Genomic DNA, 27,844 nt, shown 5'->3' with positions numbered 1-27,844 from the left:
AGTGGAGCTTCTCTGAGTTTCCCTCCTTCAGCCCTTCCAACAGTTGTGAGAGCTTTAACTTCCTCCATACTAGGAACAGAGTGGCATTTGTTTTTATGATCAAACCAATAATTGCTTAAAAATGACTGCTGTCAGCAATTAGATTATAATTCTTTGTTGACTTACTCTTAAACTTAGTAAATGATGATATTGTCTTACAATAGAAATGTTGATAGTGAAAAATAATTTTAACATCATATCAAAAGACCTTACAACCGGCTCCATTTTGGTCAACATTGGATACTCACAATGGTGTACTTTGTCCGGGACATAGCATTTGCTTAGCAAATATGAGTGTATGAATTAGTGAATGAAGGAATGGATAAATTTATGTGTATCTGTATCCAAGTTGCTTCCTACTTATGATTATTAAAACATAGATCATATTTGTTCTAATTTTCTTTAGATTTATTTAGTACAATACCAACAACTTCCAGCTGCTCACTGCTTTGTTTGGATGACAATGATGAGTAGTTTTGGAAGCCAGTCCAGCACAAATTCTAGGAAATCCCAGGGTGCATCTGTAATTATTTTAGGGTCTTCCAGAGGTTGGAGATCACACCTGTTAGTTATGAATTACTTCCAAGGATGAATTTTTTTAAAAGGCTTTACTGTTGGATCGGTTTGAAGAGTTCAATCTCCTTACTTTTTTTTCTTGTAATGTAATTCTGAAAGGTAAATAGCAATGATAATCATTTTGCTGAATAAGAAAGTCAATGGTCAGTCCTCACCAGAATAAATCATGTTTATAATTTAATTGTAATTAAGACCATAATCTTTCACATGAAGAAATAATTTAATCATTCTTAGAATTAGACCAGCATTTTAAAAGCATCTACATTTATATAACATCACTGTATGCTCCATACTGAAGTCAAACTAAAATATGAATCTAACATTTAAGAGTTTGTAATTTTTTAAATATTGATGAATTACATAGAAAAGCTCAAAATTACATAATTTGCTATTTTTTCAAATAACTTATTTTCTTTGTGTTTTTTGTGGATGAAATAAGAAAGTAAGAATTCAGGAAAGTTTCATAATAATTGATAGCAAATGTGCAGATAAGTAATTGAGTTTGGAAGAATTTGGTCTGTTTTCATTTTGTAAACATTCACTATGTCCAAACTCTGTGCTACGTACTGTACTAACCAGTGGAGATACAAAGATGAATTACACTTGATAGTTACCCTACTGATGTTAAGGTAGACATCGACATTACAGACATATTCCTGGAAAAAAATTTGGTAAATTGTTTGAGGGAACAGGCAATAACTTAAAAAACAAACAAAACAAAGGAGCTTTAGGTGGACCGGACACTGGAGTGACACATGATAATCTCATCTACTTTTCATGTCACCTTTGAGAACCTCTCATAAAGCAGGAAACCGACTCTGGGACATTGAATCTCTGTCCCAAGTTAACCTGGTTAATAAAAAACAAAGCCAGAATTTATACCTAGTCTGTCTGAACCCTAGGGGCCAAATAGTCCTGTATTCCAGACAGTCTTTGGGTACAGATCCCAGACCCTCTGGCCCTGTGTTTACTACCATCCAGCCCATTCTCAAAGGGCATGTGGGCTCTTCAACTTGGGAATAATGTTTATTGGGTGATCTGTTTCTCTATACCTCTCATCCTCGAGGCTAAGAGGGCTCAGTTCCTTAAGCTTTCACCAGCTGGCAGAGGCAACTGGAGCAGAAGGTAGGAAGTGGATTTATTCAGCTTTTTTTGTGTGTGTTCCTTATTAAATATATATTGACAGCTCCTTATTTGTTGCGGTTAAATTGGTGTAAACTCTGAATTTACATTAAATCTGTGAGGTCAATTTCCTCATCTGCGTGTTACAGATGAAATTATCCGTATATTACCTTTCAGGAGTAAGTTGCCAAATAGTCTTAAGGTTTTATTATTCCAGGTCTTAACAGCTGTGCTACGAATAGCTGCTGGTGCTTGATACATGTTGAATGACTGACTAGATGCAAAGGATTTAAAAACAAGTGTTTGAGAGGGTAAAGCGCAGAGTAGTTTGGGTGCCCTATTTTACCTCTCCTTGTCAGCTGCGGGTGTCAAGACGGGTTGAGGGAGGAGAGCCAATGCACCCCGCTCCAACAAAGGGTCAGCAGCGCGGGCTCCTCGGAACGCTCCAGAAGACAACCCGGGCGCCCCGTTCACCCTGGCTTTCCTTGGTTCTGCAACGCGACCCGCGCGCTCGCGTCCCGGCGGATTGGAGCCATAGAAAGCGCACCGGGCGCCTTTAAATGCTAATGAGAGTCCAGGGCCCGACTCCCGAGCCAAGTTTCCCCACCCTCTCCCCTCGCCCGCCCTTCCCTCCCGGGCCGGTGCGCCGCCTAGAAAAACTTGTGCGGGGCCATTTTTGGGGCAGTAAGATCGAGCGAGGAGCCCAAGAGAGAGCGCGCAGCACGAAGCTCGAGCCGCCTCCGCCGCGCGACCCCACCTCGGCCGCCGCCGCCTGCGCCGCGAGATCCGCCCCGGCCTCCCCGAGAGCGAGCCCCGGCCGCCGCGACCACCAGCCGCGCTAACCGCCGACCAACCGCCACCGAGGCGCCTGAGCGAGAGCAGAGGAGGAGGAGGCATGAGTGAGGCGGGCGAGGCCACCACCACCACCACCACCACCCTCCCGCAGGCTCCGACGGAGGCGGCCGCCGCGGCTCCCCAGGACCCCGCGCCCAAGAGCCCGGTGGGCAGCGGTGCGCCCCAGGCCGCGGCCCCGGCGCCCGCCGCCCACGTCGCAGGAAACCCCGGTGGGGACGCGGCCCCCGCAGCCACGGGCACCGCGGCCGCCGCCTCTTTAGCCACCGCCGCCGGCAGCGAAGACGCGGAGAAAAAAGTTCTCGGTGAGTCAGGCCAGGGAGGGCAGGGGCTGCCGTAGTGGGGCGGGCCCAGCCGGCCGCGGAGCACGTGTGGGCAGCTCGCGCTACATCTCCCACCCGGGCTGGAGACGCTGACAGCACAGGGTCCCCAGGGATCTCCGGGTCCCCAGGGGTCTCCGGGTCCCCAGCGCTGGCCGCCTCCCTTGCCGGCGCTCCCAGGTGAGCGCGCTGCGCCCTGCGCTCCTGGCGGCCGTGTGCATCTCCCTTCTGGTTCCGGGCCAGAAAGTTTAGGTCTTAACTTCTGTCTCCCAGACGGGCACTGTTGCGGATTCGCGTGGTGGAAAATGCCTGCGTTTGGAGAAGAAAGGAGAGGCAGTCTGGGAGAGGGGACCTTGGGTAGGGATGGATGTAGGGGAAGGACCGACACGTGGGCCTGGCGCTTTGGGGTCCTTGCTTGGGATCTGGGAAAGGAGAGCATTTCCTTTGGGGAAGAGGAGGGCGCTAGAAGGAGACGGGGAGGGAAAGATAGAAAAGCTTCTTGCCAGGAAGGGTCAGGTGTCTGTCCCTGACGCCCTTCCCACATGGGCATGGGAAAGACGCCATGCTCCTGTTGGCCACATGCCAGCAAAGAGATGTTGCAATCGTCTCCGGGAAACTTGGGTCTTAGTCCCACGTCTTCCTCCCCCTCTCTGTGCCCACGGCTGCAAACAGCCATTCAGTGTCCACCAATGGCTACACGCTTCCCTCTTCCCGGACTGTGGGAACGCACGTGGTGTAGCAGCTGAAAAAACTTTGTCGGAAGTGGGGGTATGACGTTAGTTCAAAACATTGTTACCTTGGCACTTGTAACGTAGGAAGGGAAACAGGAAGATGAAATGTTGAGATTTGGGGGGGCAGTGGATGGAAAGGGTTTCTGTGATGGTTGTTGGTTTAGTCACATAACAAGCGTTCTTTTCGTAAGTAACGCCCCTGTGTGAGTTCTTAAACGCTTGCAAAGCAGGTGGGTGGTGAATAACCTCCCTAAAGGGTGTGTGTCCATATCGTTCGCTCTTATAAACAGGAACGTTAACAGATGGTGTAGGATGCTTCGGAGACCTCTTCACTATTTGGGGTGGGGCATGTTTGTCTCATCTCTCTGAGCCCTACTTCCCCTTTGGGAAGAAAGTTGAGGGAGCAATGTGAGAGAAGTGTATTCAATATTCCCCACCTTGAGAGGACTATTTTCTTGTTTTTTTTTTCTAGGGCTTTTACTAAGTCCCTACCAAACAACATGCTAATTGTAACCTGTGTAGGTTAAGAAACAAAATAGGCCTGATTTTGCTGGACTAAAAGTTGCTTAAATCTAGTCAGTAGTACATTGTGATGTTGTTTCTAGCAAATATTTCTTGGAACACTTTCTGCCAGATGTCTGAGAGAGAAAACCTTGTGTTCTCCAAAGCAGTGTTAGGATAACATTGTTAATGATACCTTATTTTGTAGAAAGCTTTTGCGGTTTTTCACTTAATCCTGTACTGTTCTGAGATTGGGAAAGCAGATACTATCTTTAAAGATGAAGGAAACAGATAAATGAAGGTTAATTTCCTCAAGCAACTGCCTCTGCAGATCCCTGGTGATGAGTCTGATGCCTTTTATCTTTCCACTCTTACTGCGTCTCTCTAAAAATGAAGGACAGCCCTTTCTACGTGACACCTCAACACTGTTTGTCTCTGTCTAGTGTGTCCTGCCATCCCCTTTCCTTTGCCAAGCAAACACATAGATGCCTAAGATGTACTAGGCACAATGCTGACTAAAATGGATATGTTCTAGTATTTGCAAATGGGCCTTCACTTGAGTTTATAAGCACATAGGCCAGGAAAAATAGTTTTCATGAGTGCAAAAAAATTTTCCTTCTGATAAATGTTATGGAAATCTATGGTCTTCCTCCCCAACCCTTCCCCTTAGTGTATATGAAGTGGGTTTATGGTTTAAAGCAAGACGTGGGAATGAATTTGATCATAAGAAGTCCTTGGAGAAGTATTTGCGGAATTACGAAACTTTTTTAAACTACATTGGAGAGTAAAAATAACCTTCAGCTTGGATTGAGGTTAGACCTGAGAATTATTTATCATCTTTTTCCTTTATTATTAGTATTGTCATTTTAATCAAGATTATTCCTTCAACAATGCTAGATATTAAAAACAGTTCCAGTCTTTATATTTTCCCAGGTAATTAATTTTTTGGGCAAATGAAAAGAGGCACTAAACGCATATTATTTGGAATATTGCCTGACTTAAATGCATATAATGTATCAAAAACAGGCCTCTACTGTGTACATTTGCATCGAAAACATCAACTGTTTTTTTCTCCTTTGCCTTGCTGCTCCAATCAGAGTGGCCTCAAACGTAAGATGGCCTGGGTTTGATCTCTCCTTTGGAGAGATGAGAGATCTTTGGAATTAAAGCTGGAGAATGCCTCATCAGTGTAGACTGCATAACTTTGGAGATATAAAGACATGTTTTTTTTGTTTTGGATTTTCTTTCCCCCAACAAAGAGAGCTAAAGTATTTTCCCAAGTGTATCAGTCTAGCAAACTTCAGAACTACCCCTGCCTACAACAGAGCAAGTCTTAATTACTATTTTAGTTTTGAATTTAAAAGTGAAGCCTTATTGTTTATCCTTGGAAATTATAAACTTTGTATCTTATGAAAAGACAGTATGGATTGATGTTAATAATTACTTTCATTCTCTACTGAGGCTTTTTTCTTTATTTTTTCTTTAAGGTAATCTATTATCAGGTTTCCTGTTTCATTGAGTCTTTATAATTGCTTTTTGCACTTCCTGAATTGAGACAGGGGCATTTCCTAGAAGTACTGAATTTGTCATTCATAATTGATTCCAAAGATCATATTTGAAATAGTTGAGATAAATATAAACCTACAAAATACAAGTTACATGAAGTTTTATTTTGTTTAGATTCCTTCTCTCAATTCTGCTAAAATCAGGCATTGTAGAGAAGTGGTCCTGCTCATGAGGTAGAGACAACCATTATGGTAAAGAGGGGGATTTTATGGAAAAATGCTTAAGTTTGATTCGCAAAACTGTAGAGAGCAAGGTAAACAAAGAAACAAGCCCAAATTCATCATGTGATTTGAAAAGACCTGTTATATCACGTCTCAGAGTGGTAAGTACAGAACTGGATTGAGACAGCAGCAGTTCTATAATTATTCTTGACTCCTCTGATGAGCTCCCACTTGGCGACTGGACAAGTTGCTTTACGTCTTTGTAGATTGCCTGTTAACAAGGAGCCACCTTGTTTCTCATTAAAGTTTGCCTAATATTTCCAAGTATGAAAGTGATGTGTTAAGGTCTTTCACTCTTTTATTGTAGCTCCTATTTTGAACTTATAAAATTTGTCTAGGTTAAAACTTGGAACATTCATCTTGAACATTCTTTTTTTCCTTCAGTGTTTCTCAATTTTAATGATTACAGAATTGTATAGACTTATAACCACTCCTTATCTTGCGAGTTTCCTGAAAAGTTGAATAAGGAAGAAAGGTTTAGTCTTCTGAAAAGTATTTCCTTATGAGATCTTGGCTTGCTCCATTTTCTTTTTCTAAAGTATTTTGGAATTAAGCTTTTAATGGTTTCTTTAGGTATGTTTAGGCTTTGTCTAATGTTATCAAGATCTTAGTGATATGAGCTATATCTCTCTGTAGGTCAGATACTAATTTATCTGCTTAATCCTATTTTAGCCACCAAAGTCCTTGGCACTGTCAAATGGTTCAACGTCAGAAATGGATATGGATTTATAAATCGGTATGTGTGTGTGTATATTTGCATGTTTTAAGTTTATACTTACATTGTGGCACCAGGAGTTATAAATCCCTTAGCCTTCATTAATGGCTTATATAAATTTTTTAGGTTTCTAAGCACTGTAAATATTCTCATTTCTAAGCTACTGGTTGTTAAATATTACTTAAAATACATTTCCAGGACACTAATAAATAACTTATTTCATAAAATCTAGTCATTAAGGAAGAAAAGGAGGGGGAGATAAAATCAGAAATGGGAAGGGCCTTAGGATAAATGAGACCATATCCATAATTTCACAGATGGAGAAACGGAGTCTTACACTGGTTAAGCAGCTTTCCTAAGGTCACCCAACTAGTGAGTCATTGAGCTGGATCTTTAACTCACTTCTGGTCCAGTCCTATGTAGAAACTGTAAACTGTGGTAACTTTTAACCGTACAGGAATGAGAACATAACTACAAGATGCTGGGAGTATTATGAGGTTTTCACATGATATCGGCATTTTCTTTGCTTTCCCACCCCTTCTTAAAGTCCTCCAATTTCTTGTCTCCTTTGGTGGGGTGGGGGTGGGGGGCTGTTTTAAGTTTCAGTGTAAGGAGAGCCTAGTTCACAGCTGTGCCCTGTCCTTTTAACTGTCTTGCTTTGCTTTTGCTGGGAGGAAAATCTGAGGCTCTGATTACACACCATGTGATTCAGAAAGAGACAGAGGAACGGGATGTTTCTGTATGTTGAGTCTGTGAGCTTGGATCTAAGCACTGTGGCAATGTGGAGGAGGAAGGTGGGTGGCCTGTGGAGTTAGAAATGTTTAACAAGGATTTTAGGTGTCTGAATTGAGTGTAGAAAATAAGTGAAAATATATGTTGTGTTTTGAGGACTTGGGAGTTAAATTCATAACACATAGGTTCTTTTAAGTTTTTCCACATACGTACTACCTTTAATTGTGAGCTTTTTGTCTTTCAACAGAAATGACACCAAAGAAGATGTATTTGTACATCAGGTAAGAGGGATTATAAATACTACATTTGCTATGTGAGGAGAGGGTGTGTAATCTTCTGTCAGCCCTTTCCCAAAAGTAAGTCCTATGGATTATTATTTTAATCTAAACTCTTTCTGTGATTTATTTTGCAACAGGAGTTCAGTTCCACATTTTAAGATTGGCAAATAAGTTCTTCTACCCCATCATATTAACTGTTTTCAAATAGTTTTATTTTTGCAGTTGTATAAAGTGATATTTGGTTAGACCACTTTCTAATTTTTAAAGCCTTTGAGTCCTTAGCAAAAAAAAGAAAAGTCTGTTTCCCTTTTAGCATCCTGTTCTCCTGATGTGGTTCCTCCTTAGTGTTTGCCTGGAGCCAATCTGGCTTCTGCCTGGGTAGGTATTGGTTAAAGCTCCTCTGTCAGAGCAGCTCTCAATTGAAGTAAATAGCGCAGAGAAGCAGATAGTAAGATGAGAAAACTTCCAGTTCCCAGGGTAGCCCTCACTCTTGTTAAATGAGGCATGTTAGGACGTGTCCAGGTCAAAAGCTGCAAATTCCCTTAGATTTGCAGGAAATAGAGGAAATGGGTAAGATATGGAGCTTCTCTGCTATAGGTGCCTCAGTTTTTCTTTGCTTTATTAGCCTAGGATGTTATTTATTCTGTTATTAATATGTCCTAGACTTCCTTTATAAAATAGGTTAAGAGAAGGAATACTATCCTTAGTGTTCTTTTTGTTTATTTAGTTTTCAGTGAATTGTCTGAAATATGCGTTCTCAGAGTATAACAATAAGGAAGATAGAGCAGCAGGTACTAATGCCAGCCCATTCTCTTGCAGTGCAGAAATCCAGAATACATCTGATTTTCTGTGTTTTTGTTTCCTTCTGTTTAGGTTTGTGTGTGTATTGGAGTGACCGTAGGAGTTGGAGATAGTGGTATCTAGCTGTGGTTTCTATTGTTTATATTTCTACTTGACTGGATATATCTCAGTTGCATTTAGATAATTTGAGTAGATTTATTTTGTTCAGATACAGTGACTTTTAGGGTCATAATAGTGTTGTTTATAATACTTGGAGGTTTGAGGTTAATAGACCTTTTAGGGTAAGAATTCTGAAGACTGCTAGAGTCAAGGTCCTCAGAAGTTGCTGTATTGGTGGCTGGCTTTATTAGCCTGTGAGTATATGACCCGATTCCAGCCCCCGTGAGGTTGTGTGGTGAGTCACCTCAATGTGTTGAGGCTTGCCCAGTTTAACAGGAAAAAGGGAGCGAGCCGGCAGGGAGGGGCTGTTTTTGGAATGGCTGAATGTTCATGCTGCGTGCCTGTCCTGAACTGCCTTTTTTCCTCTATGGGTGAGGTCTCTGCTCTGTTGGCTCACTATTTCTTTTCCCTCCTACTCAGAGTTAGGGGACGGGCTGGATTACACATGCTTAATCGCTTTATAAAATAAGGTTGACCTAGTTCCATAGAAACGCAAGCCCCTTTAACTGTTTAGAGATACCAGCCAAAGAAATGGAAATGCATGGCAGGAATTATTTTCTGCCTTCATTGATGGAACAAGAGAGAGCAGCACCTATTCATAAGCAGATATTTAGGTGTAGATGTTTAATGAAGAATAGCATCTTCACTAACCTTTTAATGTATTATCAGGGAATGTAGGATTTGTTGACATGAATTGTGTGATGGGAGAAAAGTTGAATAAATATCATATAGGTAGAGTACAGGGATATGAATTCCCCCTCCTCCACTTCCCCCATCATCCCTGGGGCTGTTACGGTTGTGACTTCAGATAAATCACTTTAACTGTTAGCCTCGTGTTAACTCATCTGCAAAATGGGAGGAGAGGGGGGAGGCCAGATTATTACTAATACGTTCTGATTCTTGAGATAATTTTGTTTACTCGTCAGAAATATTTATCCCCTTGGCATTTTAATTTGTTTTTCTTTATCACTGCCTCCTTTCCTCCTCCGGAGATTCAGAGAATCTCTGAAGCTTAATGGTTTGAGGTAATTAATACATCTGATATGATCAGGTGATCAGCCTGTAACAGTAGTGTGTAGTCACTGCACACACTGCAGTTATAGAAAAAACATGTTCTGTTTAATCCACCTGTCAAGATGAATAGCACAAATCAAGGAAGTAATGTGGAATATAGTTTTATAGTGCTTTCTTGTTGTTGTGTTGGAGATCCAACTTAGTGGGAGAATGGTGGAAAAATAAGAATCGGTCAACAGTTTCTTCAAGTTCACTCTGGTGTACTTGAAAGCAGTGAAATCTGTGGCCAATATTGAAATATACATCGAATAAAATTTTCTGTTCTCTTTCCAGACTGCCATCAAGAAGAATAACCCACGGAAATATCTGCGCAGTGTAGGAGATGGAGAAACTGTAGAGTTTGATGTGGTTGAAGGAGAGAAGGTGAGAGGAAATTGTGGTTGGGTATCAAAGTGCTGGCACATAGTACTGTTGCACAATAAATTATCTATCAGCCCCTTATGAATTGACATGACTTTGGAATTTTTGTACAATAGCAGGAAGTGACTTTTAAACAGAATTTTTTTTTTTTTTAAGATGGGGTCTCCCTCTTGCCCAGGCTGGAGTGCAGTGGCGCGATCTTGGTTCACTGCAACTTCCACCATCCAGGTTCAAGTGATTCCTCTGCCTCAGTCTCCCTAATAGCTGGGATTACAGGCATCCACCACCACGCCCGGCTAATTTTTGTATTTTTAGTAGAGACGGGGTTTCACCATGTTGGCCAGGCTGGTCTTGAAACTCCTGACCTTAGGTGATCCACCTGTGTCAGCCTCCCAAAGTACTGGGATTACAGGTGTGAGCCACCACACCCAGCTAGCAGAAATATTTTTGACATTGTCATTATAAACATTCTGCAATAAAGATACTTTAATTTCTTATTTAATAAATGATCAACTCTGATTATGGAAAGAAAAGCTGATTTCTCAATTTAAAAATAATTTATATTTTTATACCAAAGGTATGTATTTCGAAATGCAGATTAAAATTTAACTATCTTATGTATTAACAATATATTAAAAGTGCTTTGCAGCTGGGCGTGGTGGCCCACACCTGTAATCCCAGTACTTTGGGAGGCTGAGGCAGGCGGATCTCCTGAGGTCAGGAGTTCAAGACCAGCCTGGCCAACATGGTGAAACCCGTCTCTACTAAAATTACAAAAATATCTGAGTGTGGTCGCACTCCTGTAATTCCGGCTACTCAGGAGGCTGAGGCAGGAGAATCGTTTGAACCTGGGAGGTGGAGTTTGCAGTGAACTGAGACATTGCACTCCAGCCTGGGGGACAGAGCAAGATTCCGTTTTTTAAAAAAAAAAAAAGAAAAGAAAAACTGCTTTGGGGCAAAAGATTTCTTTTATCAAAGTAAAGTTTTCAGGCTGACTTGTAAGCACTTCTACCTACAAATAATACATGGTAAAGAATATTTTAATCCCAATAAAAGGAGATCGAAATTGAATATTAATCATTTTGTTTTCTGTTTGGCTTGGATTTTGGGAAGCTGAAGGTACCCTGATAGACCCTAAGATAGCTTCGTCCGGGTGAACTGAATCCAAGAAGTTAAGGGATTTTCCTGAAGACTAGCTACAGAAGTTTTTAATACTGTTATATATTTAATTCCGTGTCTGTAATGCCCTTTATGCTTTGTGTTTAGTCTGTTATAGATACTAGTAAAACAATATTGAGTAAGATTAAAAACACGCTAAAACTACATATAGCACAACTGCCATGGCAGCTAATCATGGCAGCTGAATTATAAATTAACTGGATGAGAGGTTAACTCCCTGTATGTGCTCCTCCCATATACACATATACCATTCCATAGGTCATGTTCCTAATGGCTCTCAAACCATTGTGTTTTAAAAGAAAAACAATTTATTTCATTGGATGCAGAAATTTAAGTGATTATCTTTACCGGTGTGATCCCCAGGGTATCTTGTAAGTCTTTTAGATTTTCAAATCACTCACCAGCACCTGCCACTCTGTGAGGATCTCTGATATCCCATCCAATTTTTAAAAAATTGTTTTGGGTTGATTTTTCTTCTGTATGTTTTCAGAACTCAGGGTTTTACAAAGTGATGTAGGGTGTGAAATACACTCTCTGAAATCTTCTTGGTCTACATTTTTTTAACATTTTTGAAACATTTTCCATTTGTCCATATGAGAATAAGAATTCTAAATCTGTTTCAAGGATAATAGGAAAGGCTAAAGAAGGACTACATGTGTGGAGAATATTATTCATCAAAGACCCTTTCTTCTTGTTGCTGCCAAAATAGGAGAAGTTTCACTCAGTACCTTTGTGCTGGACAGAGAATCATATGAGCCCATGAATAGGGATTGTCCTCTTGGTACCTCCTAGACTAACATAGGTTTCAACACATTCTAGGAAAATAACAGTATCTCAAGTCTTTCCCATTGAGGAATATTCTTCCTGGTCTAGCATTGCTTCTACTTTGACAGTTGTATATTTGCTAATTTATGTTCTTTAAAGAGGTTACACATTGCTTTTGCGATTGACATTACTAGACAAGAAAGCAAAACTCAGGTTGTATGAGCAAACAAGCCATATATGTTTAAATCAGGATGTGAAGTACCTTGCTCACTTTGTTTAAAACCTAGATCTGTTTTTAAAATCACAGTGGGAATTCTTAGTATGTTCTGCCAGTCTTATACTCTAGCAGTCCAAGGCTGTTTTTTGAGTTAGTGTATATTCTTTTTAATTTTGAGGCCATCTTTTTATTTTCTTCTCAGGGTGCAGAAGCTGCCAATGTGACTGGCCCGGATGGAGTTCCTGTGGAAGGGAGTCGTTACGCTGCAGATCGGCGCCGTTACAGACGTGGCTACTATGGAAGGCGCCGTGGCCCTCCCCGGAATGTACGTTGTCTCTGTTACTTAACCAGTGATTGAGAAATTGTTCATGCATGGAATTAAGTGTATGTACTTGGAGCAGATAAATGCCTTGTCTTCTCCTGGAGACAAATGATTTAAGTGATTTTTATTTTTTCTTTAGAGGAAATTTTTATCTTATTTTTTAAAATGTGTATTATTGATTTCCATAGGTTTTTGGGAAACCGGTGGTGATTAGTTACATGAATAAGTTCTTTAGTGGTGATTTCTGAGATTTTGGTGCACCCATCACTGGAGCAGTATACACGGTACTCTTAAGGGGAAATTTTAGCGCTCAGAACTTTTCCAGAGCCGCTGGTCTCATTAGACACTTGCCATTCAGAAGTTGTATCAGTTAGGATATATTTGGCTACAAGTAATAGACATTTAATTATCTTTTAACAGGAAGACTTAAGGGAGACAGTGCTGAGGTTTTTTTTAACAAGGTTTCTCTTCATTTGGCTCTTTTTTCTGGCCAGAACCTAGTCACAGACATTCACTGGCAAAGGGGAATGGATTTCCATCATTGACTTAACCTTGTTGTTCATTCTTTGGTGCCGACACTGTTGACCTCTAAGAAAATCAAAATTTGGTTGGTGAAAGAGTGAGAAATAACTTGTGAACAGGCAATAAAAGTACAGGCCACAGAACTATTAACGAATTTGCCTTGGTTAAGAGGCTGTTTTATTTAGCATAGCATTTTTCCATTATTTCAAAGTAAAGAAGCAATAAGTGATTCTGTGGATTTTTAGTTCTTTAGGTTGGTTTCAATGCAGGGGAAAGAGTTTGTCACAAATCTGGCTGGAGCTTTCTTGGGAGGCTCAGTTTATAGGAGTATTCTCAAGGCACCCAAAACGGACCCAGTATATTTGTGGTCATGAGAAACTTACTAGATTTGAATCATTCTTGGTGTTTCTAGAATTAGAACCAGGTATTGGCACATTGAAGAAAACTCCGAATGTTTGTCAGCACAGGATTGTGACTGCCTGTCTCATCCAAAGAAAAACTCATCAGAATTAAATATCTGCAGATTGAGAATGACCTATCTTTATGTTTTGATAGCTTTATATCTTTCTGTTTACCTAAATGCTTTTCCTCCTTATTCTGCCATCATCACATCCTGCCCAAATTAATTCTGTCAGATTCCTTAGGACTTCCCACTTGTTTCTTTGTTTTTGCTTATCTTATTTGGTTTTTAATAAGCTATGAGGGGGATAGCTAGGAATGAGCTGCTGTAGCATTTCCTACATCATGTTCTCTTTGAAGTTCATCAGAGTCACAGAGCGCTAACTGTGATTATTTTGACTCCCAGGTTAATTCAAAAGCAAAAGTGGTAGAAAAACATTCAGTGAAAAATTTTTCTTAAAGACTTTTCCTGTCCAAAACCTGAAAATTCCAAAGTCATGCATATAAAAGATATTTAGAAACAAAATTGTTAAAACGCTTAAGAAACAAAATTGTTAAAACTCTTAAAGTATACATAAATGAGCTTTTTTGTTGTAATATCTAAGTCCCAACAACTTGTTCAGTATCTCTCAAAAGAGTGTGTTCAGCATTGCTGGTGCCATTATTATGCTTTGTAAAACTCTTAAAGATTTGATTGTGTGAAATGCAAAAGAGGAAGATAAGCCCAAGAAGAAAAACAGTTTATGTTGTCTCACACTTAATATTTTGGTAAGCATTTTCTGTGCAAATAAACGTTTACATAATTGTGAATCTCATCTTTGGTAGAGGTTTTATGAAGAGTAGAATGACTTGATTTTTTTTGAAGTTAGACTAGTTGAGGCTTTTTTGGAGGGGGAGTTTGGTTGCACATGTGGACTTGTTCTGGAAGGGTCCAAAGCTTAAATACACTCCTGTAAAAAAAAGTAATGGGTCATTATTTTGCTTTTTTTATTTATTCATTTTTAAAAACTAGTTACTTCCCATTAAAGACATTTGCATATCCCCTTTAAAGTAAGACTTGAAATCACAGTCTTTGTAGGATGTTTGGTTTTTTAAAATGTAAAATGGTAGTATATGATATAATTTAAATAGAAGAAAAATATAAAATGAATCGGTAAATTCCTTTGTGAATATTAATAAGATCTATTATTTAGAAACCTCCAGGATTAGGGCTTACTACCATCAAAGTATGATTAAAGCTTTACTCCTAAACATATAAAGGGAGTCATGCCTTAGGTCAGTGGTTCTCAAACTTCCTGATTTTGGGATCTGTTTATATGCTTACATGTTATTGAGGATTCTAGAGTTTTTGTCAATGTTTATTTATATTAATATTATATTAGAAAGTAAAATAAACTTAAAATGTTAATTGATTAAAAATAACTATATGTTCATGAAAATAACAGTTTTTATGGAAAAAAAATATTTAAATTGAAAAGAGTGGTATTGCTTTATACTTTTGCAGATCTCTGATGTATGGTTTAATAGAAGATAGCTGGATTCTCACATCTGTTTCTGCATTCAGTCTGCTGAGAGACCACATGTCATTGTAGCCTTTGGGAGACCCCACCATATACTTCTGAGAGAATGCCTGGGAAAGGCAAATAGCATCTTAGTAATATTATGGCAATAGTTTGACCTCGCTGACCCCCTGGAAGTTTTCAGAAATCCCATCCACACTTTACAGACTTGTAGGAAGAATACCACTTGGGTCAAATATGTTGGTAACATCATAAAATGTATTCTTTTTTGGCTTTTCCCTGACATTGCCTCAGTGGATGGTAAATGCTGGGAGACACGCATTTGATGGAGCAAAAATTATAAACCTTGCAGATACTCTTCGGGTGGTTGGTTAGCTGATACGAGTTCTAATGAGATGACTATTAAATTGATTGTAGATTGATTGCTCTTGCTTTTCTGCTTCTTGGTATTTTATCTGCACAGATCTACTCTAATCTTAATGTAGTTTATCCCAGGCAATCACATGATAATCTGGGTTAAATGCATTTTGTCTGTATAATGGAAAGGATTATATTGCTTTGGGGAGATTTTATTTTGGTGATATTCATCCTAAATGGTGTTCTTTGGTTCTTTCCTTGCTAAAACTTCTTCTGAATCTCTGTTTCTTTGCTTCGCTAGTACGCTGGGGAGGAGGAGGAGGAAGGGAGCGGCAGCAGTGAAGGATTTGACCCCCCTGCCACTGATAGGCAGTTCTCTGGGGCCCGGAATCAGCTGCGCCGCCCCCAGTATCGCCCTCAGTACCGGCAGCGGCGGTTCCCGCCTTACCACGTGGGACAGACCTTTGACCGTCGCTCACGGGTCTTACCCCATCCCAACAGAATACAGGTAAAATTGCAACTGAGACTTCTCTTCAGCAATCCTCACCCTTCCGTCCTTCTCTGCCTCCTCTTCCTCCTCCTCCTCCAACATCAGCTGCCAGAAACCTTGCTTATGGCTTCCTGATGCTACAAAAGCTGAGGCAAGGCCTTCAGTCTGTTTTTTCAAAGCAGTCATTCCGGTAACACTTCTAAAAGCAAAACCACGTGATCCATGCCTATAATAGGGAACCCTTATGGCCAAAGTTTCTAGTTGATAGAAGAACAAAAGAATTAAGGTAACAAGACAGGTGGAATGTGTAAGAGCTTGGACTCTGAAGTCAGGCTGGATTTGAATCCTGTTTCTGCTACTTATTTGTGAGGTTTTGAGAAAACCAAGTTTTAGATTAAGTTCATCCATTAAGTGGGGGCATTAAATGCCTGCACCATAGGGTTATGATGATTAAATATAAAGGATTTAGCAAAAGAGATGCCTGCAGCATAAATAACATTTTTAAAGTATTGGTTTTAAATGAGACAGTGCTGATTTTTAAAGGCAACCTACCAGAATGGAGGTTGTTGATTATTGATTCTCCTTTTTCACTGCAGAATATTAGTACAGCTGTTTTGAGTTTGTTTTGTGCTTAATAAACCTTACATCAATTTTGCAGTTCCTAGGGAACTTGGAAAACTAGGGATAGATCATCATTTTTGTTATCAGTAGCCACAACTTTTTTCTCCTCAGTGTCGTTGGGGTTTCTTTTTTTTCCCCTCACCGCTAGATGTTTTGACCGAACATTATGTTCAGTCTGTTCTTTGCTACCCTTCTCCTGTCCCATCATGCATGACTGTGTTCTTTCTTGTTTTTTTCCTTCTACTCTTCAACAGCTGCCCCTGACAAATGTGCTAAAAATAACAAGTAGACTTACATATATGGAGAGATTGGGTACATGAGACATAGTAGCTTTAGGGCAGCACTCTGGGCTTCTAGGAAACAAGGACAGGAAAAGTCAGTGAGATTGTAATATGCACTTATTTTTAGCGTCTTAATAGTGCTTTCCTGAAATACTCCTCCTTAGTGTTTGGCTTATACAACATATATCACGTTTGCTGAAAGCATGATGATTCTTTTTCATATCTTTTGAAATAAAATGTATTTCACCTTAGGAATTGAAGTTTCAGAGCAAAGTCGTTCCTTAGTGCCACGTAAAACATCATATGCAGAAGCTGATCGAAAGCTGCTTTTGAACATGTACGCTTATTCCTGTAACTTAACTGCATTTAGTTAATTGACTGAATGGCTGACTTTCCTACCTATTCCATGTCAGAAGTAAAAGTTGTCTTGATCCTTTAAACCATATTTTTTAATAATCTTTATAATATCTACTAGCTCTCTGACTAAGTAGTCTGGTTAAGCCAGTCAAGAGCATCAAAAGAAAATTCCTAAAGCTCTCATCCATATAACTAAGCTACTTCAAGGTTGTCAGTGTGTTCTCTTAAAAATATATAGATGGATCTCTAGGATAGTAAAAATTATTGAGATCAAATATAAAAGTCTTCGCCAACGTTTTCTACTATTACAACGCTATGAAATTTATTGGGCATAATAGAAAAAAAAAATAGGAATATATAGGCCAGTGGTATTTGCCTTATGCACTAAGGACATAATATAGCATGATTTATTAGTGACTGAATAACTTCCATTTTTAAAGAAAATAGTTCTATAGATTTGAAAATTAAGTAGAATCATTCACTGAGCTACTATGTGCTTGTTGTCTTTGAGAAAATAATTATATGATGGAGGGAAGGGAGCAACATTGTGGCATCTACCAGGTGACAGATATTTGGAATCGGTTCTTACTTTAGTTGTCTCTAGAGCCTGAGGGAAGCAGTGGTTTCCATATTTTTTGTTGTTGTCACAAATGAAGGAATTTGATTACTTTTAAAAATCAGCAACTTTTATTTTACATGGACAAGAAGTGGTAGAACTTAATTTTAATTCATTTTGTTCTTGTCATCCAGTCTTTCTGGCAGACTCTCATCCTTTATACACGTTAATTGCTGTTTCTGTCAGTCTTTTTTTGTGACTCAACAGTTTCTGAGGAAGAAATGGCCGAGCTTACTTAGGAAACTAAAGAGAGGCTCATGTGATGGGGATGATGTGAATGAAGGGGGAGAGGGTATGAGGTGAGATCTCAGGGGAGGTCAGACATGCTGGTAGACCACTGTAAAGACTTGACCTACTGTAAATGTGATGAGAAGCCAGTAAAGGGATCTCAACAGAAAAGAAACATTGAAGAGATTATTGGACTGTTTTGTTGGGACTAGACCACAGGAGGTAAGAGTATAAAAGCAGGGAGAACAGCTGCTATAATCTTTTCAGTAGAGAAATGAACATGGGTTGTATTAGAGAAGCTGGCAGTGGAAGGTCTGATTAAATGGTTAGATTTGGAAAATGTTTTAAGCATATAGAGGTGTTGGCATTTCATGATGGATTGAGTGAAGAGTATGAGGAATGGTAATATATTGTATGAGGAGTAAATAATACCTCTGCAGTTTTGATTTAAACAAATACGGGAATACTGAAGAAAGATTGGGTTTGGAGGGAAAGGTGAAAATTCTTTGGAGGTCTTTTTCTCATATTAAATTCACGTACAAGTGGAGGTGTTAAGTAGGCAGAAGAAATAAAGCAGAGGGAAGAGGTAGAAAGTGGCTGGAGGATGGAAGGTGTAGTCTTAGATACAGTGGTTGACAACATTTTTGGGAGTTCATTAAGTTGTATTTGAGAAGAGACCTAAATGGAGCAAGGGATCAAGTCCATCAGGTCCCAGGAAAGGCGTGAATGGGAGTCTGAAGGGGAGAAATGGAACTGCAAATAATTATTTGGAATTATTTATTTATTTATTTATTTATTTATTTTTTGAGATGGAGTCTCACTCTGTCACCCAGGCTGGAGTGCAGTGACACGATCTCGGCTCACTGCAAGCTCCATCTCCTGGGTTCATGCCATTCTCCTGCCTCAGCCTCCTGAGTAGCTGGGACTACAGGCACCCGCCACCACGCCTGGCTAATTTTTTGTATTTTTAGTAGAAACGAGGTTTCACTGTGTTAGCCAGGATGGTCTCAATCTCCTGACTTTGTGATCCACCTGCCTTGGCCTCCCAAAGTGCTGGGATTACAGGCGTGAGCCACCGCTCCTGGCTGATTTGGAGTTATAAAACAGGATGTTTAAAGCCGTAGGGGCAGGATGATATTAACTATAAAGTGAGTGTAGGTGGAAATAGGGTCCTAGGATCAAGTTCTGGGACACACCAACGATTAAAGATTAGGAAGATGAGGATTGTCTAGCAAAGGACAGTGAGAAGGAGCAGCCAAGGAGAATGTATTTCAAGAAAGAAATGTGTTAAATGCTTGTTGATAAGTAGAGATTAAGCTGAGAATTGATTATTAGATTTGGTAACTTGGAGGTCAGTGGTTTGGTGAAGACAAAAGTTTAAATAGAATGAACTTAAGAAACAGCAAAGGGCGGGAAGAGGAGACATATTCCCCATTGAGGTTTCTGTAGTGGTGGTCATGGTGTTTGGTTTTTCTTTAGTATGTATGTCTGTAAAGAAATGGGGTAGTAGCTGGAAGAAGATAAGGGATCAGAGCAAGATTTTTGCTTGATTTGATTTGCTTTTTACAATGCAGAGTTACCCCTGGTCTCTCCCTTACCCGTTACCTCACCAACAACTTCTAAAGCCATTAAATGGGCAGATCAAGGTAGGCACGTGTGTTTGCCATAAACCCACATATATATATACACACATACATAGACACACATATATGTGTAACATTGTGTGTGTGTGTTCCATGGTTCTGTCTACTGAAAGGTCCTGAAAGCCGTGATATCTTAGTAACAGCATTGAGCATACCTGTCCCCCAATTTTTTGTTTTTAAATAACATTCTCAAACAAAAAGAATTCCCTTTGGAGAAATGGCTGATTTCAGAGCTGGGACAGAGAAAGTATAATATGAGCCTGGAACATCTTGTTGTGCCAGAAAGCGAAGAAGTACTCAAAGAATGTTGGAAACACATCAATAGGATATGAGCCAGCTTGAAGGGGTTCCCATTGGCCAGTAATGATAGTAACAGATTACAACTCATTGAAAAAAATAGAAAACCATGAGTCCATACAAATATAAATAAATAAACCAATATATTGAAAAATTTGATAACGAATAGTATATTTATGCACTTTGTAAGTACTTCCTCACAAAGTACTCATTAATTACAAAGAAGGAAAGAGTCAACTTACAGTGGAGGACTCTGGTGGCAGATACCACCTTAACCACTTATCAAAGTGAACATTATCAGTAATGGCACAAATTGAAACTATATGCCACCTGACAGGATGCAGTGAGGAGAATGCAGTGTCACTTTTGTGACATCCCCCTGGGGATGCAAAAACAATATCTAATCATTAGTGAACACCAATAACCCAAGTTGAGGGATATTTTACAAAATAACTGGTTTGTAATCTTTAAAGAAGTATCAGGGTCATGAAAACCAACGTGGTGGCTCATGCCTGTAATCCCAGCACTTTGGAAGTCTGAGGTGGGTAGATCACGAGGTCAAGAGATTGAGACCATCCTGGCCAACATGATGAAACCCCGTCTGTACTAAAAATACAAAACATTAGCTGGGAGTGGTGGCACATGCCTGTAGTCCCAGCTACTTGCGAGGCTGAGGCAGGAGAATCGCTTGAACCAGGGAGGCAGAGGTTGCAGTGAGCTGAGATCGCGCCACTGCACTCCAGCCTGGCGACAGAGTGAGACTCCATCTCAAATAAATAAATTAAAAAAAACTGCTCCAAACAAAAAGATATAACTTACTTTAGTGCATAATTCTAAACGGTGTTTTTGCTATAAAGGGCATCATTGGGATAAATGGTGAAACTTGAATGGGATCTGAGAATTACATTTAACTTTTCTGTAACTTTGTGCTTATTTCAAAATTTTAAAAAATTGAAAAGGATGGGTGCTATTTCACTGGGTATATATGCTTGGATGGAAATGATAGAAAAGGTGAAAACATAGTGAAGGGATAGCGTTAACATGCTGTGTCTAGTTGATGAGAATAGAGAGGCTGTTGGTTTCAGATATGAACTTGGACCACTTACCCAGGGTAATGGGAGAGAAGAAAATTCTAATGTAAATACAGGGAGCTGGGTAGATTTGCTAATGAGAACGTGGAAATTGTCTTCTGACTGTTTCTCTTTCTTGATGAAATAATGAAGGACAGTATTTGGCTCTTAGGGGGAGGAAGGGATGTTTTGAGAAAAGAAAAGAAAGTTGAGTTATGGCTGTATGGTCAAGAATTGCAGACATTGTTGGTGGGTTTTTTTGTTTTTTTAAGTTGTTCTTTCTTTCCCCTGGAAGTTGTACAATAAGTTAATTTTATTCCACTGGCTTAAAGTAAGTTTGTTGTAAAGAAAAATAAAAGAGTATTTTATTTAAAGAGATGAATGAAATGTATCCGATTTCAAAATGTTAAATTGATAGGCGAAAATAAAGTTAGGTGCTCTGGGACTAAGCAAATGAGTATTCTAGTCAGACTAGGTTTGTCTTCCTTTTCAGTCGTTCACGAAGATTTACTCATAAATAGTTTGTGTTGCAACTGAGAGTGCCTAATTTTGTAATGAAGCATTTTGTTTTTTACTTCTAAAAAAAATTCTGAACATAGCTGTATGCACTGTATCTTATCCCCTGTGCTGTGACACTCACTGTCAGCTCTCATTGCCTCTCCAGGCTGGTGAGATTGGAGAGATGAAGGATGGAGTCCCAGAGGGAGCACAACTTCAGGGACCGGTTCATCGAAATCCAACTTACCGCCCAAGGTACCGTAGGTATGTCGCATTTTCCACTAATGGCCAGTTAAAGGACTTGTGTGCACAATGGTAGAATGAGGACTGTGTGGTTCCGTTTTGTGGATTTATTATATATCTAGAAGATGTGAATGCTTTGACTACATGCCAGAGTTTTCAGGTGGTGGTGTGACATTTCCCACCTACTTAATACTAGAATTTTTAGTTATCTCTGCGCCAAAGCGTCATTTTGTATTCTGGAATTATAATAAGATGTAAATTAATACTTAATTTTTATCAAAATAAATCAGATAAATTATTGGTGGGCAATTCTGTGGTAATGCTGCAGATGGAGGAAGAATTGAGTGTCAGAGGATATTTGGGATAGTGACTGTTAATCACTGAGGCAGTCCAGTAGAGGGGTTAAATCAGGGTATGATCAAATCGCCTGAATTTATCTTCCTACTCTACAGTTCATTAGATGTATGTTCTTGGACTGCATTCCAGCCTGCGCAACAGAGTGAGACCCTGTCTGAAAACAAAGAGATATTCTATAGTTGGGGATTAAAGGTACTAATGCAGCTAAGATAATTAGTGTGGTACCTGATAAAGTAAAGGCCTCACTATGTATTAGATATTATTACCACCATTGAGGTTAATATTAGTGAACGCTGGGTTATTCTATTTGTGCTTTATTCCTTTGGAAGACTGAATTAGGCTAGACTCCTTCCATAAGATCCCTTTGAAGCATTTTATAATATAAGCCTGCCCATTCTTTTATCTTACCCTTTGTGGTAAGTGGAAAAGCTACAACTTCTTCCTGAATGATGTTTATGCTACCTTGAAATTTGTCAGTATGGCTTTATTGAAGGATAAAAAGTATATTATATTGGGAAAGGATTCCACCAATATAATTGTAAAAGGATCGTATCCTTTTTCTTCACAAGGTTCCCTCCAGCTTTAGGCATAATCACTAATGATTAAGTACTAGGGACTTTGAAAATAAAAGAGACGGCATAGAAATGTCTTACTGGAACAAAAAGGATTCAGTAGCGTGTGAGGCTCAGCTTTGTCAGTCCCTGGATATGTGATCTTGGAAAGTCATATTTGACCTTTTTTAACCTATAAAAGCAGCACTTTTATATAGCTCAGCCGTATACTTTATCATGTAAACCTCTTGGTTTTCTTGTTATAAATCTCATCCACAGAATTACCATTCAAATTAAATATTTAATTTTAAAACCGACTAGCACAGGCTCTGGCACATAATAATGTTTCTTCTCATGTTTAATTCCCTTAGTCTCTGCTAAATTCTGTTCATGGAAGGCAGATACCAGACTACTCTTCTTTTCTTTTTTAATTTTCCTATTCTTAGTGCTTATCAAAGGGCCTGATAGGAACAGAGTATGTGTTCAGTATATGTATGTTCCTTACAAATATGTATTCAAATGAAAGGGGAAAATGATGGAAAATTAAGATTTTTTTTTCGTGAAACCTCTATTCCATTTGTTGCATTGACCTGCGAATAATTCTAGCAATAAGTACTCATCACTTGACTTTTTTTTTTTTTTAATTTTGAGATGGAGTCTCCCTCTGTCACCCAGGCTGGAGTGTGCCAATCTCGGGTTGCTGCAACCTCTGCCTCATGGATTCAAGCAATTCTTATGCCTCAGCCTCCCAGGTAGCTGGGATTACAGGCATGTGCCACCACGCCCGGCTAATTTTTGTATTTTTAGTAGAGATGGAGTTTCACCATGTTGGCCAGGCTGGTCTCAAACTCCTGACCTCAAGTGATCCGCCTGCCTCAGCCTCCTGAAGTGCTGGGATTACAGGGGTGAGCCATCATGCCTGGCCCTGATCACTTGACTTTTTAATTTTTAAAAATAAATAAAACCTTATTTTCTGGAGAAGCCCTGTCCTGTTGGCACCTGTTCTATTTTCTTCTGTGTTCCCTACAGCAGGGGACCTCCTCGCCCACGACCTGCCCCAGCAGTTGGAGAGGCTGAAGATAAAGAAAATCAGCAAGCCACCAGTGGTCCAAACCAGCCGTCTGTTCGCCGTGGATACCGGCGTCCCTACAATTACCGGCGTCGCCCGCGTCCTCCTAACGCTCCTTCACAAGATGGCAAAGAGGTAAATCCAACCAGTCAGGGCGGATGTTGCCAGATAGTCTTTAATCATGTCAGACTTTAGCATTCTAAAAGTGGTTTTATCACATGAAACCTGACACTTAACAAATATAAAAACATTTTGCTCAAGATCCATATATATAGGGTATGCCTTGTACATAACACAGACCACATATTTGAATCCAGTTAACATTCTCTGAAAGAATGACCCATATTAATGGGGATTCAGAGCTAAAACATTTGGGGTTCTTCAAAGAAGAGAGGCATTTATCAAGAGGAAGCTGCCTCTAAGCATGAGTTGAAAGCAGTTGTATATCAGACTTTATGGAGAGTAGTGGTATTTAGTTGCCGTTTTGTAAGCTGTTCTTATATGGTACTAATTTTGTTTTGTTTTGTTTTTTGTTTTTGTGAGGTTTTGGTTTCGTTTTGTTTTGGTAGAGATGCCAGGGACTGAATATGGTACTAATTTGTGACTCATACTTAAGAGTAGTTAAATTTTTGCATGCTAATTTTCCTTCACAGGAAAATTCAAACTTTTAAGAACTTTCAGTCTTGAACTTTCCACTGTCATCTGACTTTATCTGATTTATGGCTTTGTTTTGCATTTTAGGCCAAGGCAGGTGAAGCACCAACTGAGAACCCTGCTCCACCCACCCAGCAGAGCAGTGCTGAGTAACACCAGGCTCCTCAGGCACCTTCACCATCGGCAGGTAAGAGCTGGGGCAGCCCAGTCTTGAGTTGGTATTTTCTTTTTAGTATCACTGGTTTCTCAACAAGAGTACAAATTAGTCTAAACTAGTTCTGCAGTTCATCTGTGCCAACCCCTTGTCTCTATTGGGACTCTGTGGAAAAAGTGATTTGGTGGTTAAATATTTCTGGGATTGACCTCATTTTGATAAGCTTTGGTGAGGGTATAAGCATTCAGACAGAGTTGATGATACTCAACTTCTTTTTTCTAGACAGGCAGTTTTTTAACTACTAGTACCACTTAGGAAAACTGATGCTAAAAGTCCCTAACAAAGGCCTGGTTTTAGTAATCAGAAACAGTTTCAGAACCTGTTTAGTAATCAGAAACAGTAGAATAAACTAAAGGATTTTTTTTCCTTCCCTTTTTCTTTGATAATCAACTTTATTTATTTTGAGGCGGTGCAGCATAGTGTATAAGAGCCAAGGTTTATCTACCCATTGCAGGCTCTACTGTACCTCTCATTTGCTGGGTGATCTTGAGCAGTTTATCCTCTGTCTCAGTACTATCTGCTACTGGTAAAAATTAGGATACTAATTATATTTACTAGGGTCGTTGCAAGGATTATTAAGTGAAATAACAGGGAGTGTTTACAATAGGGTATGGTAAAGAATAACCTCTCGTAAAAGGATAGCTTGTTATTTTCTTGTCATTTTCTACTTTTTTCTGTCTTTTAAAGGTCTTGGACATTTTATTTACATAGAATTATAGCCAGAAAGATCAACTCAATTATAAATTCTGGGTTTGTTTTTTTTTAACCTATAACCCTTTTAACTGAGACTTTAGTTCTTATACTTCTTGGTTATCACCCTTTCCATTAGCTTTTAGTTAAGAGAGAGGTTGTAAACTCAGTGTCAATGCTATTTTTCAAAAATTGTTAAAATTTCATCAATGAAGTTTTGGGATTATTATAAGTTCTTGTGTCTTAAGGCCATCTGCTTTTATATCCAGTGATGTGGGATTTTAATCAGCCATTAATTAGGTAAGCATTCACTTTGAGGACAATATTCTGTTTTATCTTGGGTAGCATGGACAGTTTGTCACAGAAATAAGTTCCCTATTCAAACTTGGAATTAGCTGATTCAGAGTAACATATTAATAATATAAAAATGGCCATACCCTTTTATGGCGTAACATTATTTCTAGGTATTGTTTCTAAGGAAATAATTTTAAATATTGGGAAAAAATATTTTTACAATTTACAGTCTGTCTGACATTTGGTAAATAGCTAATTGTGATATATTCATATTAGGAGATAGGGTGCAGCCACTAAAATGATTTTGAGTATTGTTCATTAGTAATGGTAATTTTCTTTTATACAATTTTATAAAATTTTTGCTCTTATGTACTGACTTTTCTGGTTTATAAAAATACTTTATTAAAAAGTGAGAGTTTCCATTTAATTAACATATAGCTTACAGATCTATACAAGATGTGATTGTATTTAGAGCATTTGAAGTACTCTTTTTCTAATTATATGAAAAGCATATAATTTCTGCCTTTTTATTCTTTAACTCATGGTTACTTTGTCACTCTTTATAAGTTTGATTTTAATTTTTCCCAGGTGACCTAAAGAATTAATGACCATTCAGAAATAAAGCAAAAAGCAGGCCACAACCTTAACCAACACCAAAGAAACATCCAAGCAATAAAGTGGAAGACTAACCAAGATTTGGACATTGGAATGTTTACTGTTATTCTTTAAGAAACAACTACAAAAAGAAAATGTCAACAAATTTTTCCAGCAAGCTGAGAACCTGGGAATTCCTGCACGGAAGACAAGAGAGTAGCCTCTCCAGTTTCAGCAACCGCTAGGTTTCTATTTTTTTTCCTGGTTTTTACTGTTTTGGTAATATATATATTGAAACAAGAAATATTAATACCACATGGGGAGAACCCCAACCAAAGAAATCTGAAATATATAGTAAATGCTTTTTTTTCCGTTTTTGTTCATTTTGGATGCTGGTGCTAAACCTCCAAGTGTCATGATTTAAAAAAAAAAAAAATTTATGTCCTTCTTATTTATTTCTAGGATGAGGGGAGGATAACATTTTTGCTTTCTTATGTGACTCTCTTTGAAAATGTGCAGTAAGAAATTCCTCAAAAATAAAATTTTTACCCTTCAGAGGACAGAATGTTTAATGGGAGTGTATTTTTGCCGACCTTAGCGTGTGTTTGTCTTCTCCACCACTTGATTTACTTGACTTGATTAATAGTAAATTCAAAGCCAAATGTAAAGTTAAGTTAATGCTGTTTCACAAATTTAGGCATATAAGCTTGAGATGATAAAAAATTGGATTCCTGTTGAAATGTACAGCTGGAAATTGACAAGTTCATGTCTGAGTTCAGTAGTAGGCATGAATTATTTGGTACTGTCTCTTTTTGAGTAATCTTCATTCAGTGAGGTGACGTGATGACCTTTAGATTAACGAAGGAGTTAATAGTTCTAACATCCTTCAACTTCCAGCCTGAGGTTTTTACCAGTAACTGCTGTGTTGTAGGTATACAAGGGAGCTCTTTACAACTACATTTCTCCCCCTCCCAGCCATGGTGCCCCTAAGTTGAGAAAAACTATCGCAGCTGTCAGTGCCGTATAGTTACTTTTCAGAACTGCTGCAGCAGTACATATCCAGTGTAGGTTTGTGCTAAACATTATTCTAGTGGCTAGGATGGAACAAACCAACAAAATACCATTGTTTCAATGACCAGGTACATACAGAAAATAAACAAGTATGGAATTTAATTTAGATGGCAATAAGTGCTGTTAAGAAACATAAAACATGGTAGGAGGACAGGGACTGGCATAATCATAGGGGATATGTTGATTTTAAATAGTGGGGAGGGTCTCCTATTTAAATGGAGTCCTAAGGTGAAGGGGCATTAAACATTTGAGTATCTGCAGGGAAGAGCATTGCAGGTGGAGGGAGCATTCTTGGCCTAATAAATGGCAAGCAGGTGAATGTGAACTGTTCAAGAACCTTGTATTATCTTGCAAGTTAAAAGGGTTGGTAAAAATTGGTAATAGGCCAAGGCAAAAAAAAAATCAACTATTTTATTCTATTAAAAAAGGCTCCCATCTTGGTTCCAGTTTCCTCCAGGCAACCAGTTAGCATATCTTAAAAATAGACCCATTTCACATATTTCATGTGTGTGAGTCTCTGTGTGTGTGTGTGTGTGTGTGTGTATGTGTGTGTGTGATTGGCCGACTAATGCAAATTTGAGAAGAGGAAATGAGCTTAAATTGTGCTTATGTTAACAACTTAAAAACAATCATTAGACATATCCATGTTTAAAATTCTATGGATAGTTCAACTATACT

General features: G+C 39.0%; 2 protein-coding genes across 7 annotated transcripts, besides 3 other annotated features; one reads left to right on the top strand and one right to left on the bottom strand.

The window, feature by feature from the left end:
• Positions 1-425: 425 nt before the first annotated feature.
• Positions 426-2,692, bottom strand: LOC124902876 (uncharacterized). Its single transcript, XM_047429946.1, has 2 exons — positions 2,084-2,692; positions 426-707 (listed from the first exon to the last, which is right to left on the bottom strand). Exons 1-2 carry the CDS (start codon positions 2,632-2,634, stop codon positions 638-640), a joined length of 621 nt encoding a protein of 206 aa, XP_047285902.1. The 5' UTR covers positions 2,635-2,692; the 3' UTR covers positions 426-637.
• Positions 2,306-2,525: a silencer, noted in NCBI's record as "silent region_4240". NCBI's record gives its function as "represses an Ori minimal core promoter by ATAC-STARR-seq in GM12878 lymphoblastoid cells {active_cell/tissue: GM12878}" and the evidence as "EXISTENCE:reporter gene assay evidence [ECO:0000049][PMID:35858748]".
• YBX3 (Y-box binding protein 3) lies at positions 2,421-26,655 on the top strand. Of its 6 annotated transcripts, none has more exons than XM_017020122.3 (10): positions 2,421-2,894; positions 6,601-6,664; positions 7,623-7,656; positions 9,961-10,050; positions 12,411-12,533; positions 15,630-15,836; positions 21,596-21,684; positions 23,610-23,784; positions 24,391-24,490; positions 26,090-26,655. In XM_017020122.3, the coding sequence occupies exons 1-9, from the start codon at positions 2,633-2,635 to the stop codon at positions 24,454-24,456; spliced, it is 1,110 nt and encodes a 369-aa protein (XP_016875611.1). In that variant the 5' UTR covers positions 2,421-2,632; the 3' UTR covers positions 24,457-24,490; positions 26,090-26,655. The 6 variants fall into 6 exon arrangements, with proteins under 6 accessions (XP_016875611.1, NP_003642.3, XP_016875612.1 ...); NM_003651.5 differs by having other exon boundaries at positions 21,596-21,693; XM_017020123.3 differs by lacking the exon at positions 15,630-15,836.
• Positions 2,546-2,645: a silencer, noted in NCBI's record as "silent region_4239". NCBI's record gives its function as "represses an Ori minimal core promoter by ATAC-STARR-seq in GM12878 lymphoblastoid cells {active_cell/tissue: GM12878}" and the evidence as "EXISTENCE:reporter gene assay evidence [ECO:0000049][PMID:35858748]".
• Positions 2,776-3,175: a silencer, noted in NCBI's record as "silent region_4238". NCBI's record gives its function as "represses an Ori minimal core promoter by ATAC-STARR-seq in GM12878 lymphoblastoid cells {active_cell/tissue: GM12878}" and the evidence as "EXISTENCE:reporter gene assay evidence [ECO:0000049][PMID:35858748]".
• Positions 26,656-27,844: the final 1,189 nt, after the last annotated feature.

This window comes from Homo sapiens, chromosome 12 (assembly GCF_000001405.40).
Source record: "Homo sapiens chromosome 12, GRCh38.p14 Primary Assembly".
Classification (NCBI taxonomy): Eukaryota; Metazoa; Chordata; class Mammalia; order Primates; family Hominidae; genus Homo; species Homo sapiens.
Note: the sequence above shows the minus strand (reverse complement) of the source record. Positions and strands in the feature narration are given on the sequence as shown.